General features: G+C 45.7%; 1 protein-coding gene across 2 annotated transcripts in view, besides 5 other annotated features; it reads left to right on the top strand.

Annotated features, from left to right (window-relative positions):
• Nucleotides 1,895-2,032: a silencer, noted in NCBI's record as "fragment chr5:1536432-1536569 (GRCh37/hg19 assembly coordinates)". NCBI's record gives its function as "represses an EF-1alpha promoter that drives an FKBP-Casp9 reporter gene in an ReSE screen in both phorbol 12-myristate 13-acetate-treated (for megakaryocytic differentiation) and untreated K562 erythroleukemia cells {active_cell/tissue: K562 | K562(+PMA)}" and the evidence as "EXISTENCE:reporter gene assay evidence [ECO:0000049][PMID:32094911]".
• Nucleotides 12,997-13,232: a transcriptional cis regulatory region, noted in NCBI's record as "candidate enhancer chr5.422 targeted for multiplex CRISPR interference". NCBI's record gives its function as "positively regulates LPCAT1 gene expression with high confidence in K562 cells {active_cell/tissue: K562}" and the evidence as "EXISTENCE:mutant phenotype evidence [ECO:0000015][PMID:30612741]".
• Nucleotides 14,002-14,401: a silencer, noted in NCBI's record as "silent region_15884". NCBI's record gives its function as "represses an Ori minimal core promoter by ATAC-STARR-seq in GM12878 lymphoblastoid cells {active_cell/tissue: GM12878}" and the evidence as "EXISTENCE:reporter gene assay evidence [ECO:0000049][PMID:35858748]".
• The window catches only part of LPCAT1 (lysophosphatidylcholine acyltransferase 1), a 62,534-nt gene continuing 61,043 nt past the window's right edge, over nt 14,389-15,879 (top strand). For both annotated transcript variants that reach the window (NM_024830.5, XM_005248373.4), the window contains exon 1: nt 14,389-14,639. In NM_024830.5, the coding sequence (NP_079106.3) occupies nt 14,505-14,639 (135 nt within the window). In that variant the 5' untranslated portion in view covers nt 14,389-14,504. The remainder of the gene's footprint in view (nt 14,640-15,879) is intronic.
• Nucleotides 14,422-14,731: a silencer, noted in NCBI's record as "silent region_15883". NCBI's record gives its function as "represses an Ori minimal core promoter by ATAC-STARR-seq in GM12878 lymphoblastoid cells {active_cell/tissue: GM12878}" and the evidence as "EXISTENCE:reporter gene assay evidence [ECO:0000049][PMID:35858748]".
• Nucleotides 15,002-15,201: a silencer, noted in NCBI's record as "silent region_15882". NCBI's record gives its function as "represses an Ori minimal core promoter by ATAC-STARR-seq in GM12878 lymphoblastoid cells {active_cell/tissue: GM12878}" and the evidence as "EXISTENCE:reporter gene assay evidence [ECO:0000049][PMID:35858748]".

Genomic DNA, 15,879 nt, shown 5'->3' with positions numbered 1-15,879 from the left:
CTCCACAGCAAGGAGAAGTAGGTGGCAAAGGGGGCATGGACAGCCAGCAGGGACCACACTTCATCGCTAACATCTGTCATGGATTTTGCCCAAATTGTACGAGATTGGATGGCTGTAGAGTTGGGGAGTGGCCCCACAAAGATGTGTCCAAGTCCTAACTTCTGGTACCTGTGAATGTGACCTTATTTGGAAACAGGGTCTTTGTAGCTGTAATTAGGAGGGGCATCTCGAGATGAGATCATCCTGGATTTAAGGTGGCGTTAAATCCCATGACTGAGGTCCTTATCCGAAAAAGAAGAGGGCAACTGTAGACACAGACACAGGAGAGCAGCCACGCGAACTCGGGTGGCGGGGCGGCGGGAGCTGGGAGAGGCCTGGGTCAGACCGTCCCTTAGAGCCCTCAAGAAACCAGCCCTGCCCACACCTTGATCTCAGACTTCTGACCTCCAGAACTGTGAGACGACATATTTCTGTTGTTTTAAGACCCCCGCTTTGTGGTAATTTGTTACGATAGCCCTAAGCAGCGAGTACACGGGCCAAGGGAAAACTCTGCCATGAGTTCCATGCAAACACGAGCAAACTACAAACTACAGAATCCCCCAACCCTGAGGCTCACTCGGGCAGACCCTGGAACCGCAGCTGTGTCCCTTGAAAGGAGCTCCATCCTGGGGAAAGAGCCATCTTCCGACCCCAGCTCAGAAGAGAAGACTCGAGTCACAGATTTTATTAAATGAGGAGGGCTTTGTGGCAACCTTTTCCGTTTTTTAAATTTCTATCTACAACTGTCATACAGTGAACAAAACCAACAAATTTAGAACCTGGAAGTTTGAGAGGTAGTGCCTGTGGTGGGACGGGCACAGGATTTCGAGGCATAAACCTGGTTTCCAACCTCAGTGCTGTTCCTGGCCTCCTCCGACACCTGGGGGTGTGTTGTGCAACCTGCAGAGATTCAACGTCCTCCTCTGAAAACTGGGATTAACACTTCCTTATGGAGTTAATAAACAAGAAGATAATTCATGTTAAAGTACCCAGGTCACCGCTGATGCTAGAATACTGACACCAGCCCTACCACAAACAGGGCCACAGTGACCAGATGGACCACATCCTTCTTATTTCAGGTACAAAGTAAACGTCTGAGCAAACATTTTCATTTGTAGCCTTTCTGGAAATCAGAAAAAGCCTAAATTGTAGGCAAGTACCCATATTGTTTCCTATTAAATAGTTCATCAGTGTGGATTTTCAACTCAATTTATATGGTAGTTTATCTTAGATGAGAACTAAAAGTGAAAGTGAAAGAGTTACAGTTGATTCCGTTTTTTAAACATTTGTGAAGTGCATTAAGATATCTGGAGAGAGAACAGGCATTTTTAAAAACATAAGTTTGGAGTTTTGCACTTTGGCTGTGTCTGTGTAAGCTGCTACTAGACAAGATCCCTGAGAATTTTTTTTTTTTTTAATGTTTTGATGACCTATCTTGGAGAATGAACAAAAGCTGGCAAATTGGGGATGGGAGGTAAACCTTGTAAGAAGAGATATACACAGGGAACTGTCCCATTTTGTAGCTTTGAGCCAGAGGTTAGAACAGCACAGAGTGGCAAACACTATGACAGAAAATCCACTGAAGGGTAAGGGGGAGCCCTAAAAAGAGAAGAGACATGAAGAGGAACCCCAAATTCTGTACATAAGCTCTATCCATGTCACGTCACTGGTTAACACCAGGATCACCAGGTGTGGAGTGACCCAAAGCAGCTTAGCCAAGGACTGAACTGAACCAAAACAGAGGCTGCCACCCAGGAGACAGAGTTCACATGTGAGTCAGACCCAACCAGACAGCACCAAAGGGAAACCACCAGCATTCACTGCGAGAACGTGCACCCCAGAGGCTCCTACGTCCTACATGAAGAACAGAGAAACGTGACCCAATCTCAAAGAACAGGACAACCAACCAACCTAAGCCCTGAGGCGCCAGTGCGGAGACAGCAGATGTGGGCTGTAAGGCGGCCATTCCAGCTATGCTTAGAGCAAAGAAAACACACTCACAATAAATAAAAAGATGGGACATATTAGCAGAGAAAAAGAAACTACTAAAAAGAACCCAGTGAGAAACTAACATTGAAAAATACAGTATCTGAAAATACAAATGTACCGGGTTGGCTTAACAGCAGAACGGCAATGACAAATGAATTAAAATGGAAGACAGATCATTTGAAATTGCTCAATATAAAGAAGAAAGAGGGAAATTTTTAAAAAAATGAACAGAATCTCAGGAACCTATGGGACAATATCAAAAGGCTTATATATCTGTAATAGGAGCTCCAGAAGAAGAAATGAGAAAAAAAAGTAGCAGAAAAAAAATCCGAAGATATAGTAGCAGGTAAGTCCCCAAGTGTAGTGAAAGATGTACATTTTCAGATTCAAGGATCTCAGAAAACCTACAAGCAGGATACACTCTAAGAAAACCACAATTAGGAAGATTAACATCAAGCTGCCAAAGACCAAAGATCAAGATAAAAAGAGAGCACAGCCAGGTAAAAATGACACATGACACACACAAGACGAAGACTTAAATCACTGCTGATTTCTCACCAGCATTTTTAGATGCCAGAAGACAGGGCAGCAAGATTTTTAAAGGGCGGAATGAAAATAAACTGTCAGCCTAGATTTCTAAAATCATTAAAATATCCTTCCATAGTGAAAGCAAAACAAAGATTTAAAAACTCAGATTTAAAAAACTATTCACGTGCAGCAGACAGGTACTGTAAGGAATGTTAAAGGAAATTCTTCAGGATGAACATATATTATACCTTATGGAAACAGGGAACTTCAGAAAGGAATAAAGAGCTTCAGAAATAGTAAATGAAGTGATTATTAATTTACTATTAATTTCTTTAAAATACATAGGGCTAAGCAAAAATTATTATATTCTCTTATAGGGTAGGTAATCAATGTAGATATAAGGCACATTAAAAGTGTGCTATGAAGAATGGGGGTAAATGGGCTGATAGAAAAAGAATGAAAAATCAAGAAAAAACTATATACTGTCTACAAAAGATCCATATTAAATATAAAGACACAAATAGGTTGATAGTAAATGTACCATGCAAAACTAAGACTAGAGTGAGTTTATTAATATCAGGAAAAAACAGACTTCAAAACGTAGTGTATTACCAGAAATAGAGATATTTCATAATGTTAAAAGGCTCAACTCATCAGAAAGACATAATTAAATATGTGTGTACCTAATAACAGAGCTTCAAATCACCAAAAGCAAAGGTAAAAAGAAAAAAGAATTAGGAGAAGTAAACCATATCGCAATATGAACAACACATCAGTAAAGACAATCAGAGAAAAATATCAGTTAAAAATAGAAGACATGACATCATTATCCACAAGCTTGAGCTAATTGACATTTATAAAACACTACACCTGACAGATGCAGAATATACGTTCTCCACAAGTTCACAAAAATTTTTAAGTACCATTTTCAGTAGCACAAAATGTTAAATATTTAATGATAAATCTGACAAAAGATGGGTAAGATTTACACATTGGAAAATACAAAACATTGTTGAGAGAAATTAAAGAAAGCCTAGATGAACTGAGAGATGTACCATGACAGGGGGTCAAAAGACTCAATATTGTCAAGATGTTATTTCTCCCAAAATTTGTGCGCGGTGCCAACATAATCTCAAAATTGCAGAATTTTTTCTGTAGTAATTGACAAACTGATTCTAAGATTCATATGGAAATCAAAAGGACCTCAAAAAACTGGAACAACTTTCAAAAAGAAAAACTAAGGTTAAGAACTAATGTCACCGGATCTTAAGACATATTATAAAACTACAGTAGTCAAGACTTGCATCCAAATGAATAAATAGGTCAATGCAATGAATAGTCAGCCCAGAAACAGAAGCACACAGATGTGGTCAATCAATTTTTCACCAAGCTGCAAAGGCAATTCAGTGGAGAAGGGATAGTCTTACAACAAATGATATGGAACAATTCTACATCTATAGGTAAAAAAATAAAAATAAAAAACTCGTATCTATACCTCATACCATGTAAAAATTAACTCACAATGGATTATAGACCTAATTATAAAATATAAACTATAAAACTTCTTGAAGAAAACAAGAGAAACTATTCATAACCTTGAATTAAGCAGAGATATTTTTAGATATAACATCAAAAGCATGATTGTTTTTTAAAAAGGTAAATTGAACATAAAAAATTAAAAACTTCTCTTTGAGAAATATTGTTAAAACAATGAAAAAGCAGCCACAGAATGGTACAAAATATTTGCAAATCACTTATCTTATAAAGAAATTGTATTCACAATATATAAAAACTCTCTAGACCCATTAATAATAAAACAAAGAAAAATACTGTAATGAGAAAAATATTTGAACACATCAGGAAGATTTGTGGATGATAAATGAGCACATGCACAGATGTTCTAGGTCATTGTTCAAAGGGAAAGCAAATTAAAATCATAACGAGACGCCACTGCATATGTATTGGAATGCCTAAAACCTAAAAGTCTTACCATACTAAGTGTAGGCAAAAATATGTAAGAACTGAAACTCTCATACACAGTCTGGGTTGGGGGATGTAAAATGGTCCAACCCCTGTGGACAAGAGTTTGAACGTTTCTTTCAAAATGTATCACCCAGCTTCCCACTGATAAGTATTTATCCAACAAAAATGAAAGCCATACATCCATACCAAGACTTGTACTCAAATGCTCACAGCATCTTTATTTGTAATAGTTCCAAACTAGAAACAACCCAAATATTTATCAACAGGAGAATGGATAAACAAATATCCATACAATGGAATACTATTCAGCAATAAAAACAAGTAAATGATTGATAAAAACAAAAAAAAAAGGTGAACCTCAAATAGTTATGCTGAGTGAAATAATTGGAACCAAAGAAGAAACTGTATGATTTTATTTGTATAAAATTTCAGAAAATGCAAACTAACTTACAGCAACAGAAAGTAGAACAGGGGTTGCCTGAGGATGAAATGTGTAGGGGTGGGATGTAGGGATTACAAAAGGGAGTGAAAAAGCTTTTGGGAATAATAACTATGTTTCCTATCTTAAATACAGTGGCAATTTCATAGGGTGTGTGTGTGTGTGTGTGTGTGTGTGTGTACATATATATGTGTGTATATATAAAAACAGCAAAATGTCCACTTTAAATTTATGTGGTTTATTATATATCAATTATAATTCAATAAAGTCATGATAAAAAGGAAATAATGACTATTAGTTTTCTAAATTTTATTAAAAGTATAAACCCATAAATCAAAGAAGCTCAGTGATTTCTCACACACAGGTACATCATAACTGATTTGCAGGAAAACAGTAATAAAGACAAAATTTCAAAAGCAAATAAATATACAAACAAAATAAAAACTTGTTGAGTTAGAATTCTATATTTATCAGGGGAAAAATCCTACAAAACGAAGGTAAAATAAAAAAGTTTTTTATACAGATCAAATCCAAAAGATTAGTTGCAAACAGCTCTGCACTGCAAAAAAATTAGTAAAATTTCTTCAGAAGGCAGAAAAGTGATACAAGAAGGAAACTCAAATCTCAAGAGAGCAATGAAAGTGCTTGAAATGGCAAACATACAGATAAATACAAAAACCTCTTAATTTTTTTAAAATCGCTTGAAAAGACTTTGTTCAAGACAAAAAAATTATATATTGTGGGGCCTACAGCATATATAAGAGTGAAATGTATGAAAGCACTAGCTTAAAGGATGAAAAGGGAAGTGGAAGTGTAATACTGCAAAGGTCTTCAATTATATGTGAAGCAGTGTATTATTTAAAATGTCTTCCAATAATACACATATTAATAGCAGATACTAAAAAGTTAAAACAAAGAGGTATAGCTGATGAGCCAATGGTGGAGATAAAATACTAAATTAATCTAGAAGACTGCAGTTAAAGAGTAAACCAAAAGACCAGATAAGACAACAGAAAACAAATAGCAAGGTTGTATATTTAAATCTAACCATATTAACACATCAAATATGGATGATCTAAACATGCCTATTAAAAGACAAAGATTTTAAGATTAGATAATAAAGCAAGATCCAACTCTATGCTGTATACAAGAAACCTTCTTCAAATATAAAGCCACAGAAAGATTAAAAGGATGGAAAAATATGCCACGCAAACACTAAACATAAGAAATCTGGAGTGACTATGTGAATATCAGACAAAGTGGACTTCAGAACAAGAAATGTTACCAGAGGCTGGGCGCAGTGGCTCACACCTGTAATCCCAGCACTTTGGGAGGCTGAGGCAGGTGGATCACAAGGTCAGGAGTTCAAGATCAGCCTGACCAACATGGTGAAACTCCACCTCTACTAAAAATACAAAAATTAGCTGGGCATGGTGGTGCGCACCTGTAATCCCAGCTACTCGGGAGGCTGAGGCAGGAGAATCACTTGAAGCCAGGAGGTGGAGGTTGCAGTAAGCCGAGATTGTGCCACTGCACTCCAGCCTGGGCGATAGACTGACTCTGTCCCAAAAAAAAAAAGAAAAGAAAAAAAAAAAAAAGAAATGTTACCAGAGTAAAAGAGAGACATAACATAATGATGGAAAGGTTGATTCACCAGGAAGACAGAATAATTTCAAATATATATGTACCTAATAACATAGCTTCAAAATATACGAAGCAAAGACTAACAGTATTGAAAGGTGAAATAAACAAATCCACAATTATAGTTGGTCTTTCAGTCATTCATATAACAGTAACAGAAAAGCACAAAGATACAGGAAGCTTGAACAAAACTATCAACCAATGGAGTCAACTGGCATTCATAGAACACTCCACACAAAAACAAGAGAACCTTTTCTTATAATATACACCTGAACAGTCATAAACACAGACTATAAAAGGATTGAAATCATACAGAGTATGTATTGTGACCACAAATAAGTTATAATAAAAATTAACTGGAAATTCTCCAAATATTTGGAAGTTAACACATAACAAAAAAGCCACAGTAATCAAAGAAGAAACCACATGGGAAAAGAGAAAGTACATTGAAAACTGAAAGAAAATGAAAAATCAGCATGCCACCATTTGTGGAATGTAGATATGGCAGAACTTAGAAGGAAATTTGTGGTATTACATGAGGCAGGTCTAAAATCAATGGTCTATACTTCCTACTTAGGGAAGTAGGAACAGAAGAGCAAATTAAACCTAAAATAAGGAGAGAAAAGAAAATGATAAAGACAGAAATCAACAAAAATAGAAAACAGAAAAATAATAGGAAAAAATCAATGAATTCAAAAGGCAGCTATTTCTAAAGATCAATAACAAAATACACCTCTAGCCAAAGTGATCAAGAAAAAGGAAGAAGACACAAATTACCAATATTATAAACGTGAACAAGGGCTATCAGTCTAGATCCTATAGATATTAAAAGGATAAAAGGGATTATGATAAACAATTTTATGCCAATAAATCAATAACTTAGATAAAACGGACAAATTCCTGGAAATATCTAAATTACTAAAAAAATTTAGGTTTTTAGATGGAAGAAATAGAAAAGATGAATAACACCTATCTAATGAAGCACTCAAATTCATAATCTTTAAATCTTTCTGAAAAAGAAAATTCTCATTCCAGATAGCTTCCCTGATGAACTCTAACAAACATTTAAGGAAGATATAATACCAACCCTACTCACTCTTTACTTAGAAATAGAGAATTTGGAATACTTCCTAACTCATGTTTTAAAGACAGTATTATCCTCATTAGAAATCAGGCAAAGACATTATAAGAAAGGGAAACTACGGCCAATATTTCTTATGAACATAGACACAAACATCTTTAACATAAATTTATCAATTTAAATTCGGTAATAAATCAATCGTGTAGTATGGTTAAGTGAGGCCTATCCAGAAAAACAAGGTTGGTTTAAAATCAGAATATGAACCAATTCAATTCACCATATTCACAGGATTAAGAAGAAAATTTTAAGATAATCTCAATAGACGCGAGCAAGCTTTTTGGCCAAAATGATAAAAACTACTCAGTAAACTAGCAATAGAAGGGAACACCCTCATCCTTTTTCAGGGCATCTGTGAAAACCCACAGCTCATGTCAAGACTGGGCACTGGGTACTAACAATCCCCAAGATTGTTAACAAGACAAGATGCCCAGTCTCAGCACTCTGTCCAACATTCTGTAGAGGATGTCACAGTCAGTGGAACAAGAGGAAATGCAAACAACGAAAGGCATACGTGTTGCTGGTGAAGGAAGAAATAAAGCTCCTTATTTACAGGTATTATGATTGTGAAATGGGGAAAATCCTAAAGAATCTACAAAAAAAGTCACTAGAACTAATAAATGAATTTAGCAAGGTTAATGCCTACAAAGTAAATACATAAAATCAGTTGTAGTTCTATATACGAGCAACACACTTCTGGAAATTGAAATTAAGAAGCAGTATCATTTATAACAGCATCAAAACATGAAATAGGAACAGAATTCGAAAACCTATGTAAGACCTATGCAGTGAAAATTATAAAACATTGCTGAGGGAAATTAAAGAAAACCTAAATAAATGATCTGTATACCATGCTCATGGATGGATAACTCAATATTGCTAAGATGGCAATTTTCCCAAATTGATCAATAGATTCAACACAATCTCATTAAAAATCCCACCAACCTTTTGTTTGTTTGTTCCTGGATACTTCAGTTTCTTGACAAAATGATTCTAAAATTTTGGCTGGGCATGGTGGCTCACACCTGTCATCCCAGCACTTTGGGAGGCCAAGGCGGGCAGATTACCTGAGGTCAGGAGTTCGAGACCAGCCTGGCCAACATGGTGAAACCCCGTCTCTACTAAAAAATATAAAAATTAGCTGGGCGTGCTGGTGCATGCCTGTAGTCCCAGCTACTCCGAAGGCTGAGACAGGAGAATCGCTTGAACTCAGGAGGCGGAGTCTGCAGTGAGCCGAGATCGGGCCACTGCACTCCAGTGCAGTGCAGTCTAATTTCAAGACTAATATAAAGCTTTAGTAATCAGTATAGTGTGATGTTGGCAGTTGCAGATGTACAGATCCATGGAACAAAATACAGAGTCCAGGAATAGACTCAACTATACATATATGGCCACTTAATTTTTTTACAAAGTTGTCAAGGTAGTTCAATGGAGAAAGAATATTCTCTTCAACAAATGGTGCCGAAACAGTTGAATATTCAGACGAAAACATTTGAAACTAAAAAACCTCTGCCTCCACTTTACTTTATGCCGTGTACAAATGTCAACTTGAAATGGAATACAGACCTAAATGGTAAAGCCAAAACTGTAAAACTTCTGAAGTAAGAAAATCTGAATGACCTTGATGCAGGTAAATATTTATAAAAGAGGATACCAAAACCATGATCCCTAAAAGAAAACGCTGATAAATTGGACTTCATCAAAATTTAAAATATCTGCTCTTTGAAAGACACTATCACTGCTTAACAAACCATCTCAGTCTGTAGTGACTGAAAACCACCACAATTTTCTGTTTGTCATGATTGTGGGTTGAATAGGAAGTCCATCCATTGTACATGATGGAGTCCCTCACTCTGGGGCTGTGCACTCCTCATCTGGAACATCCACAGGTCCTCTTGTACCCTGGGGTCTGTCTTCATACAACCTCTACACAAGCAGTAGTGGTTCTCCATATAATCCATACTGTCAAGAGTAATTTTTTTTTTTGAAAGAGAGTCTCGCTCTGTTCTTGCCCAGGCTGGAGTACAGTGGCGTGATCTTGGCTCACTGCAACCTCTGTCTCCCAGGTTCAAGCAATCCTCCTGCCTCAGCCTCCCGGGTAGCTGGGACTACAGGCGTGTGCCACCACACCTGGCTAATTGTCATATTTTTAGTAGAGATGGGGTTTTGCCATGTTGGCCAGGCTGGTCTCGAACTCCTGACCTCAGATGATCCGCCCACCTCGGCGTCCCAAAGTGCTGAGATTACAGGCATGAGCCACCGCGCCCGGCCCAAGAGTAATTTTTGAAACGATTATTACATCACTGCAGAAGTATGAAGCATCAAGGAATTAACAAAAATACAGAATCTTTATGTAGAAAAATTTAAAATGCTATCAAAGGGCATGAAAGAACATCTAAATAAATGGTAGAATAACCATGTTGGTGAAAAATCGTTCTCAAAATTATAAAGTGTCCATGCCACATCATCCATTTAAAAAATTTTTTTTTTGTATTTTCTAGTGCTTTGAAGCCTTGGAGCCTTGGAGCCTTGCTGGCCCTTCGAGGGCCCCTCCCAGGACCAGCCAGCTCTTACTGAAGTAACATTCTTAGGGAACAGGGAGAATGAACAGTAAGAATGAAGTAACATTCTTACTGAAGTACCCTGTACAATTAATGTGATTCAAAAGGAAGCTTCCAGCGGGAATTTTTAGCAATGGGGACAACTGCTTCCAAAATTTGGATGGAAAAATAAAATTCCCTGAATTCCTACTACAATTCTTGGGAAGAAGCGCCAACAGGAAGGAACCCCCTCTACAGTTACTAAGGCAGACGGTTGAAAGGTGTGAGACAGGAGTAAAGGAGTACGCGGACCGGCGGGTGAGACGGGAGTAAAGGAGTACACGGACCAATGGGTGAGATGGGGCAGCCAGAAGGAGCTTCAGGAACCCTTCTTTCTGTTCATGCTGGAAGTGGACCCACAAGTGGGAGTCTGTGATTGATACGTGGTGTTGAGAATATCAGGTCTCCATGCAGAGAAAAAAATCTTCAAATAGAATAAAATGCAACCATGAAAGGCAGAACTGAAAAAAGATGTTAGTAGAAAATGAAGGAGAATATCTTTTTCTATCCTATAGATAACTCTAAAATTCAAAAATTAAACAAACAAAACAAAAATACTCAGCCTTACCAGAACAAGCAGGTACCTTGTGTTCTCAATGCACTTGGAGTATAGGAAACACTTCTCTGTGAGCTTACACTCTTAAAACAGAGACAAAACCAGAGCAAGAAGCCTCAGGGGTGTGGTTACCAGCCCCAGGGAGCTGTGGGGGGCTTCCAGGAGGTTCCTGAGAACCACAGTGGGGGCTCCCTTTGTAGCTAAAGGGCCCTTAGGGTGGTTTTCCCAAAACTAAGTCCTAATGAGAAACTCATGTTTCCCCTGCTAGACAGAGAAAACTGCTTATACCTCCCCACCCAAGACCAACTTCTCTTAGTCAAGCTTCCAGACCCTCCAGGTCTTAAGAACGTTCCATTACATAGCAGAACCAAAGCCTAAGTGTGAAGGCCCAGTGTGGGTGGAGGAATTTCCTTGCTGCTCCTCCACGCTTGCGCTGATTTCCCCATAAGCAGCCCCTCTCCCCCACCCCTCGCAGTCCCCAGGAGAAAACTGACTCCCACACACAAGAGTGCCCCAGCTCCCCACCCCCTGGGCACGTGCCCTGTGGACCATCCAACCCCTTCCAGCTGCAGCAGAGAAGGAGTCCCCGCTCCGGGCCCCAGGCCTTTCCTTCCTCTGAGCGCAGAATCCTTCCAGACTGAGATGGGCCCATGACACCCCCTCTCACAGGGGTTTTCAACGTCTCCTGTGAGGCTGGCCTGTTGCCTTCCACCCAGGAACATGTCCTGGGCCCCTTCCTTGAGCTGCTGCCCTGGATCCCAGCCTCCCGCCAAGCATCCATTTTCCTCCTCCTGCCCATCACGCTTCCTCCTTTCTCAGGTAGCTGGGAAAGAACCTCTGTAACTCCTGCCCACTCCACAGCACCCTGCAGGGTGGTGGTCTCCACCCTTGCTACTACCACTGGCTGGCCTTCCCAGTTCTCTCCTGGCCAGTCCTCCTGGATGGGGCAGTTCCGTGGACTCAGCCCCTCTGGGGACCTCCGCTCCTTGGCCGCTCTCTGGGGCCTTCTTGGGTTCTGCTTGGTGAGGACGAGTGTGCCCCAGTCCTGCCCCCTGCTCTGCACAGCCCTTGGCCCTGTCACACCCACCCTCCCAGCTGTGCCCCCTTGTGTACTGACCCCGGAGCTGGGCCTCTGCGCCTCCTCCACATGGTGCCTGTGACCCAAGGATCCACTGAGCTTCTACACCAAGGCCACGCTGCCCACAGTGGCTCCACCTAAGACCCCTCTGGGAGAGGGACTCCTCTTTCCACCGACCTTGGCTCAAGGACAACCTGCTGACCCTGCTTAGATTGCCGGGCAGTATGAGGTTCTTCCCCCAGCCTCCCCACCTCCTTCCCTGGGTTCCAACTCACTTTGCACTCTGCAGGTTAAAGCAGAAGGAATTTATTCTCTCCCAGTCTGGAGGCCAGAAGCCTGCGATCATGGCACCCTAGGCCTAGGCTCCCTCTGAGAGCACTAGAGAGGACCTGCTCCAGGCCTCTCCAGCTCCTGGGAACTGCTTGCCTGTAGCAGCAGAACCCTGGCCTTCCCATGGAGCTCTCTCTGTGTCTGTCTCTGAGACCGAATCTCCCTCTCTATAGGGACACAAGCCATTTCAGACTAGGGCCCACCCTAATGACTTCCTCTTAACCTGATCATCTGCAAAGACCCTGTTTCCAAATAAGGTCGCGGCCACAGGTGCTGTGGGTTAGGACTTTTGCATCTTCTGGGGACACAGCCATGACTCTCTGGCAGCTCTCCCCATTGAATCTGGCTCTGCACCATCTCCAGCAGGTTTCCCCTCCGCCACACACCGCTTCCTGGCCTGTGCTTCTGGGAGGACCCCACTTTCATGGCTCTCCAAGTCCAGTCCTGAGGCTGCTCTCATCCCAGGACTGGGACACCCTAGGGCCCCTCCTCTCCAGAGCACTCAGGCAGCAGGTGGGGCCGCCTGGATCGCTGGGGTGCAGGTGCTGCCCTGTGGCTGGCAGGCTTTGTGTCCTGGGCTTTCTTGATGATCAGTTCGGTGAGGAGCCTTGGGTGGCCTCGGGTGCTGGGCTCTGGTTTTGGGGATCAGAGCAAGTGGCCACTAAAAGCCCAGGAGGTGGGTGCAACGCTGGTGGCTGGGCCACAGAGCCACCAATGCCCACCAGCACACAGGGCTCACCCCATCCCCGTGGGTGTGGCACTTGGGACAGGTGCTGCTGCTAGGCATGGGCTGGGACTCTTATGGGGCAGGAATATGGGCTGGGACTCTTATGGGGCAGGAATAAGGCCATGCAGCGGGTCTGGCCTGCCGGGGCCTTCTCTGTGCATGATATGTGGATGGCACAGACCCCTGGCCCTCACCCCGGTCTCAGACACAGAAGGGTCTCTGCCAGCCCGCTGCACTATGAGGTCCACAAGGGCGCAGGCAGGGTCATTGGAGGGGTCGGGGCACTCCCTGGCGTCTGCTGAGGATGGGGCCCAGCTGGGGCCAACACAGCAGTGACATCCCCAGGAGCCAGGACCCTGGGGGGTTGGCCAGGTGGCCCAAACCGGCTCTGTCTGGGTGAGGTCCGTTGGCCATGAAGGAACCAACAGGGCCAGCCGGGGTGAGGAAGCCGTGAGCACTGTGACCGAAGGCCTGCGTGAGTTCTGAAATCCAAGCGTGTTCACCCGGAGGCAGGAGCCCATCCTACTCTCGCTCCGGCTAATTATGGGCCCCACCCTGGGGCTCCTCACACGGCTCCTGAGCACCACAAGGGCAATGCCCGAGCCAAAGCAGCTACGGGTGAGAAAGCGCTGGGATCTCATCGCAGCCCCTGCACAACCAGCACGGACAGTCAGGGCCCCTATGTGCGCCTCCTGCCTGGGCCATCCCTGCGGGGCCTGAGGCCTGAGAGGTCCTGAGATCGGAGGGGTCCTGAGGTCTGAGGGGGTCCTGAGGCTTGAGGGGTCCTGAGATCTGAGGGGATCCCGAGGTCTGGGGGGTCCTAAGGTCGAGTGGACCTCAGGCGGGAGTCGCCTGGGCTGAGGCGCGGCTGGAAGAAGCTCCCTCAGCCCGGGGCAGCTTCCAGGGTCGCCGGTGCGAGCTAGGAGCCCAACGAATAAGAAGAATGGCGTGGGGCCTTCGCCGGAACAGCCCGGGGCTCGGCACCCAGGGCCTGGCCCGCCTTGCGCGTAAGCTGGACGCGTGCCCGCCCCTTCCTCCCTCCCCGCGAGCAGGCGGGCCGAGCGGCGGAAGGGGACGACGTGGCAGCCTCGCGGGCCCGGGGGACCTCCCTTTCTCCTGGCGCAGACCCTGCCGGGGATCCCTGTGCTCCAGTGGCTGCAGGAGGCGCCCCCGGTCCCCAGCGGCCCCGGCCCCCCACAGACCCCAGAGAAACCACCAGGTAGCGGAACTCCGGCTGGTGCCGCCCCTGCCGGCCGGCGGGAGGCGAGGCTTCCAGGGACGCCCCGCCCCGGCCGGCGCTCCCGCTCCGCCCACGTCACCTCCCGCGCCTGCGCGCCCGGCCCGCTCCAGCCGCCGCGCATCCTCGGCCCGCGCCCCGAGACCCGCGCCCAGCTAGCCCCGGCCCCGCTCGGCGCCCCAGGCAGCTCGGCTGCGCTCGCCGCGGGACGGCGCGGCCATGAGGCTGCGGGGATGCGGACCCCGGGCCGCCCCTGCCTCCAGCGCAGGGGCCAGCGACGCTCGGCTGCTGGCGCCCCCGGGGCGGAACCCCTTCGTGCACGAGCTGCGCCTCAGCGCCCTGCAGAAGGCCCAGGTGGGTGCCCAGGGCGCGCGGCCCCGGGAGCCGGCGCGGACGCCAGGGATGCTGGGGCCAGGGAGGCGCGGCCGAGGAGGGGCCGGGGAGGGGGCCTGGGGCGCGGCGCGGCCCTGCGAGCCGCGGCGCCTTCCCTCCCCGCGGCCGCCCCTCAGTTCGCGTCCCCGCCGCCCGCACCCGATGCCTCGGTCTCGGCGCCGGCTTCCCGCCGCCCGCACGCGCATCCTGGTCCCTCAGCGCCTTCCTCGGGGTCCCCGCTTCCCATCCCCGCCCCGCGTTCTGCTCCTCCCCCCAGACCCCTGCACCCTGAACCGGGCCCACAACCCTTTCTCTGCCTCCCAGAGCCCCGACCTCGGCTCCCGCGGGAGGCTGGACCCGCATCGCCGGTCCCCGCGCTCGTCCCTGGTCCGGGCCCCGCCCGCCTTGGCAGGCCCTGCGCGCAGCCCGGGGACTCCGGAGCGGCTTTGCCTGGACGCGGCCCGCGGGCGGGAGGGCACCGCGGCTCTGGGTGAGCCTCGTGTGCGGGGCCTGGTGGTGCCCGGGACAGGGCGCGCGGGCGGTGCGGGTCCCCTGTAGGGTCCCCTGTAGGCGCACGGGTCTCCCTGCTCTGCGGCCGCACGTTGCCTTCTGGGGTGCATGCTTCGCTCCTGTTGTAAGGGATGCTTTCTCGGGGCTGGTCTGACCCGAATCAACTTTATGCAACCTGGGCTGCCACGTGGGAGGGAACGGTTTGCTGAGATCCTGCGATGGGACAGTGGTGAGGGGAGACCCGGGGGCGTCGTGGGGAGGGGGCCGCTCGCTGCAGGAAGCTGCACCGGGGATGTGCTGGCTCAGCCTGGCTTTTCCGGCTACCTGGCTGCCAGCTGGGCTTACAGTTACCTGAGATCCACTCTCAAGAGGACCTTACTTTTGACTCTAGAATAATTCCTAGAAGCAAGCACTGTTTCGGGGCCTATGGGGCTGTCCGGTTTGTAGGGAGCACGCTTCCAATTGTGAGAATAGATTTCCGGGAAGATGGAGATTTGTTAATGCATAAAGTACTTTATCTGAAAGAACCCTGAAGTGAAAAGTTCTTGAGGCCAGTTTGAGCTTGTCATTTTCCCAGGACGCCTGCTTTTGCTCAAAGCCCCTTGATGCGGCTGGTCCTCAGGGTATGGAAGGGGACGGGGAGCAGGAGAGCCCGATGGTGCCGCCCCTCCTGGTGACACACAGGGTGAGGTCGTCCCCAGCCTGGCTCCCA

This window comes from Homo sapiens, chromosome 5 (assembly GCF_000001405.40).
Source record: "Homo sapiens chromosome 5, GRCh38.p14 Primary Assembly".
In the NCBI taxonomy this organism is placed as follows: Eukaryota; Metazoa; Chordata; class Mammalia; order Primates; family Hominidae; genus Homo; species Homo sapiens.
The sequence above is the reverse complement of the archived record's forward strand: the minus strand, read 5'-3'. Positions and strand labels throughout refer to the sequence as shown.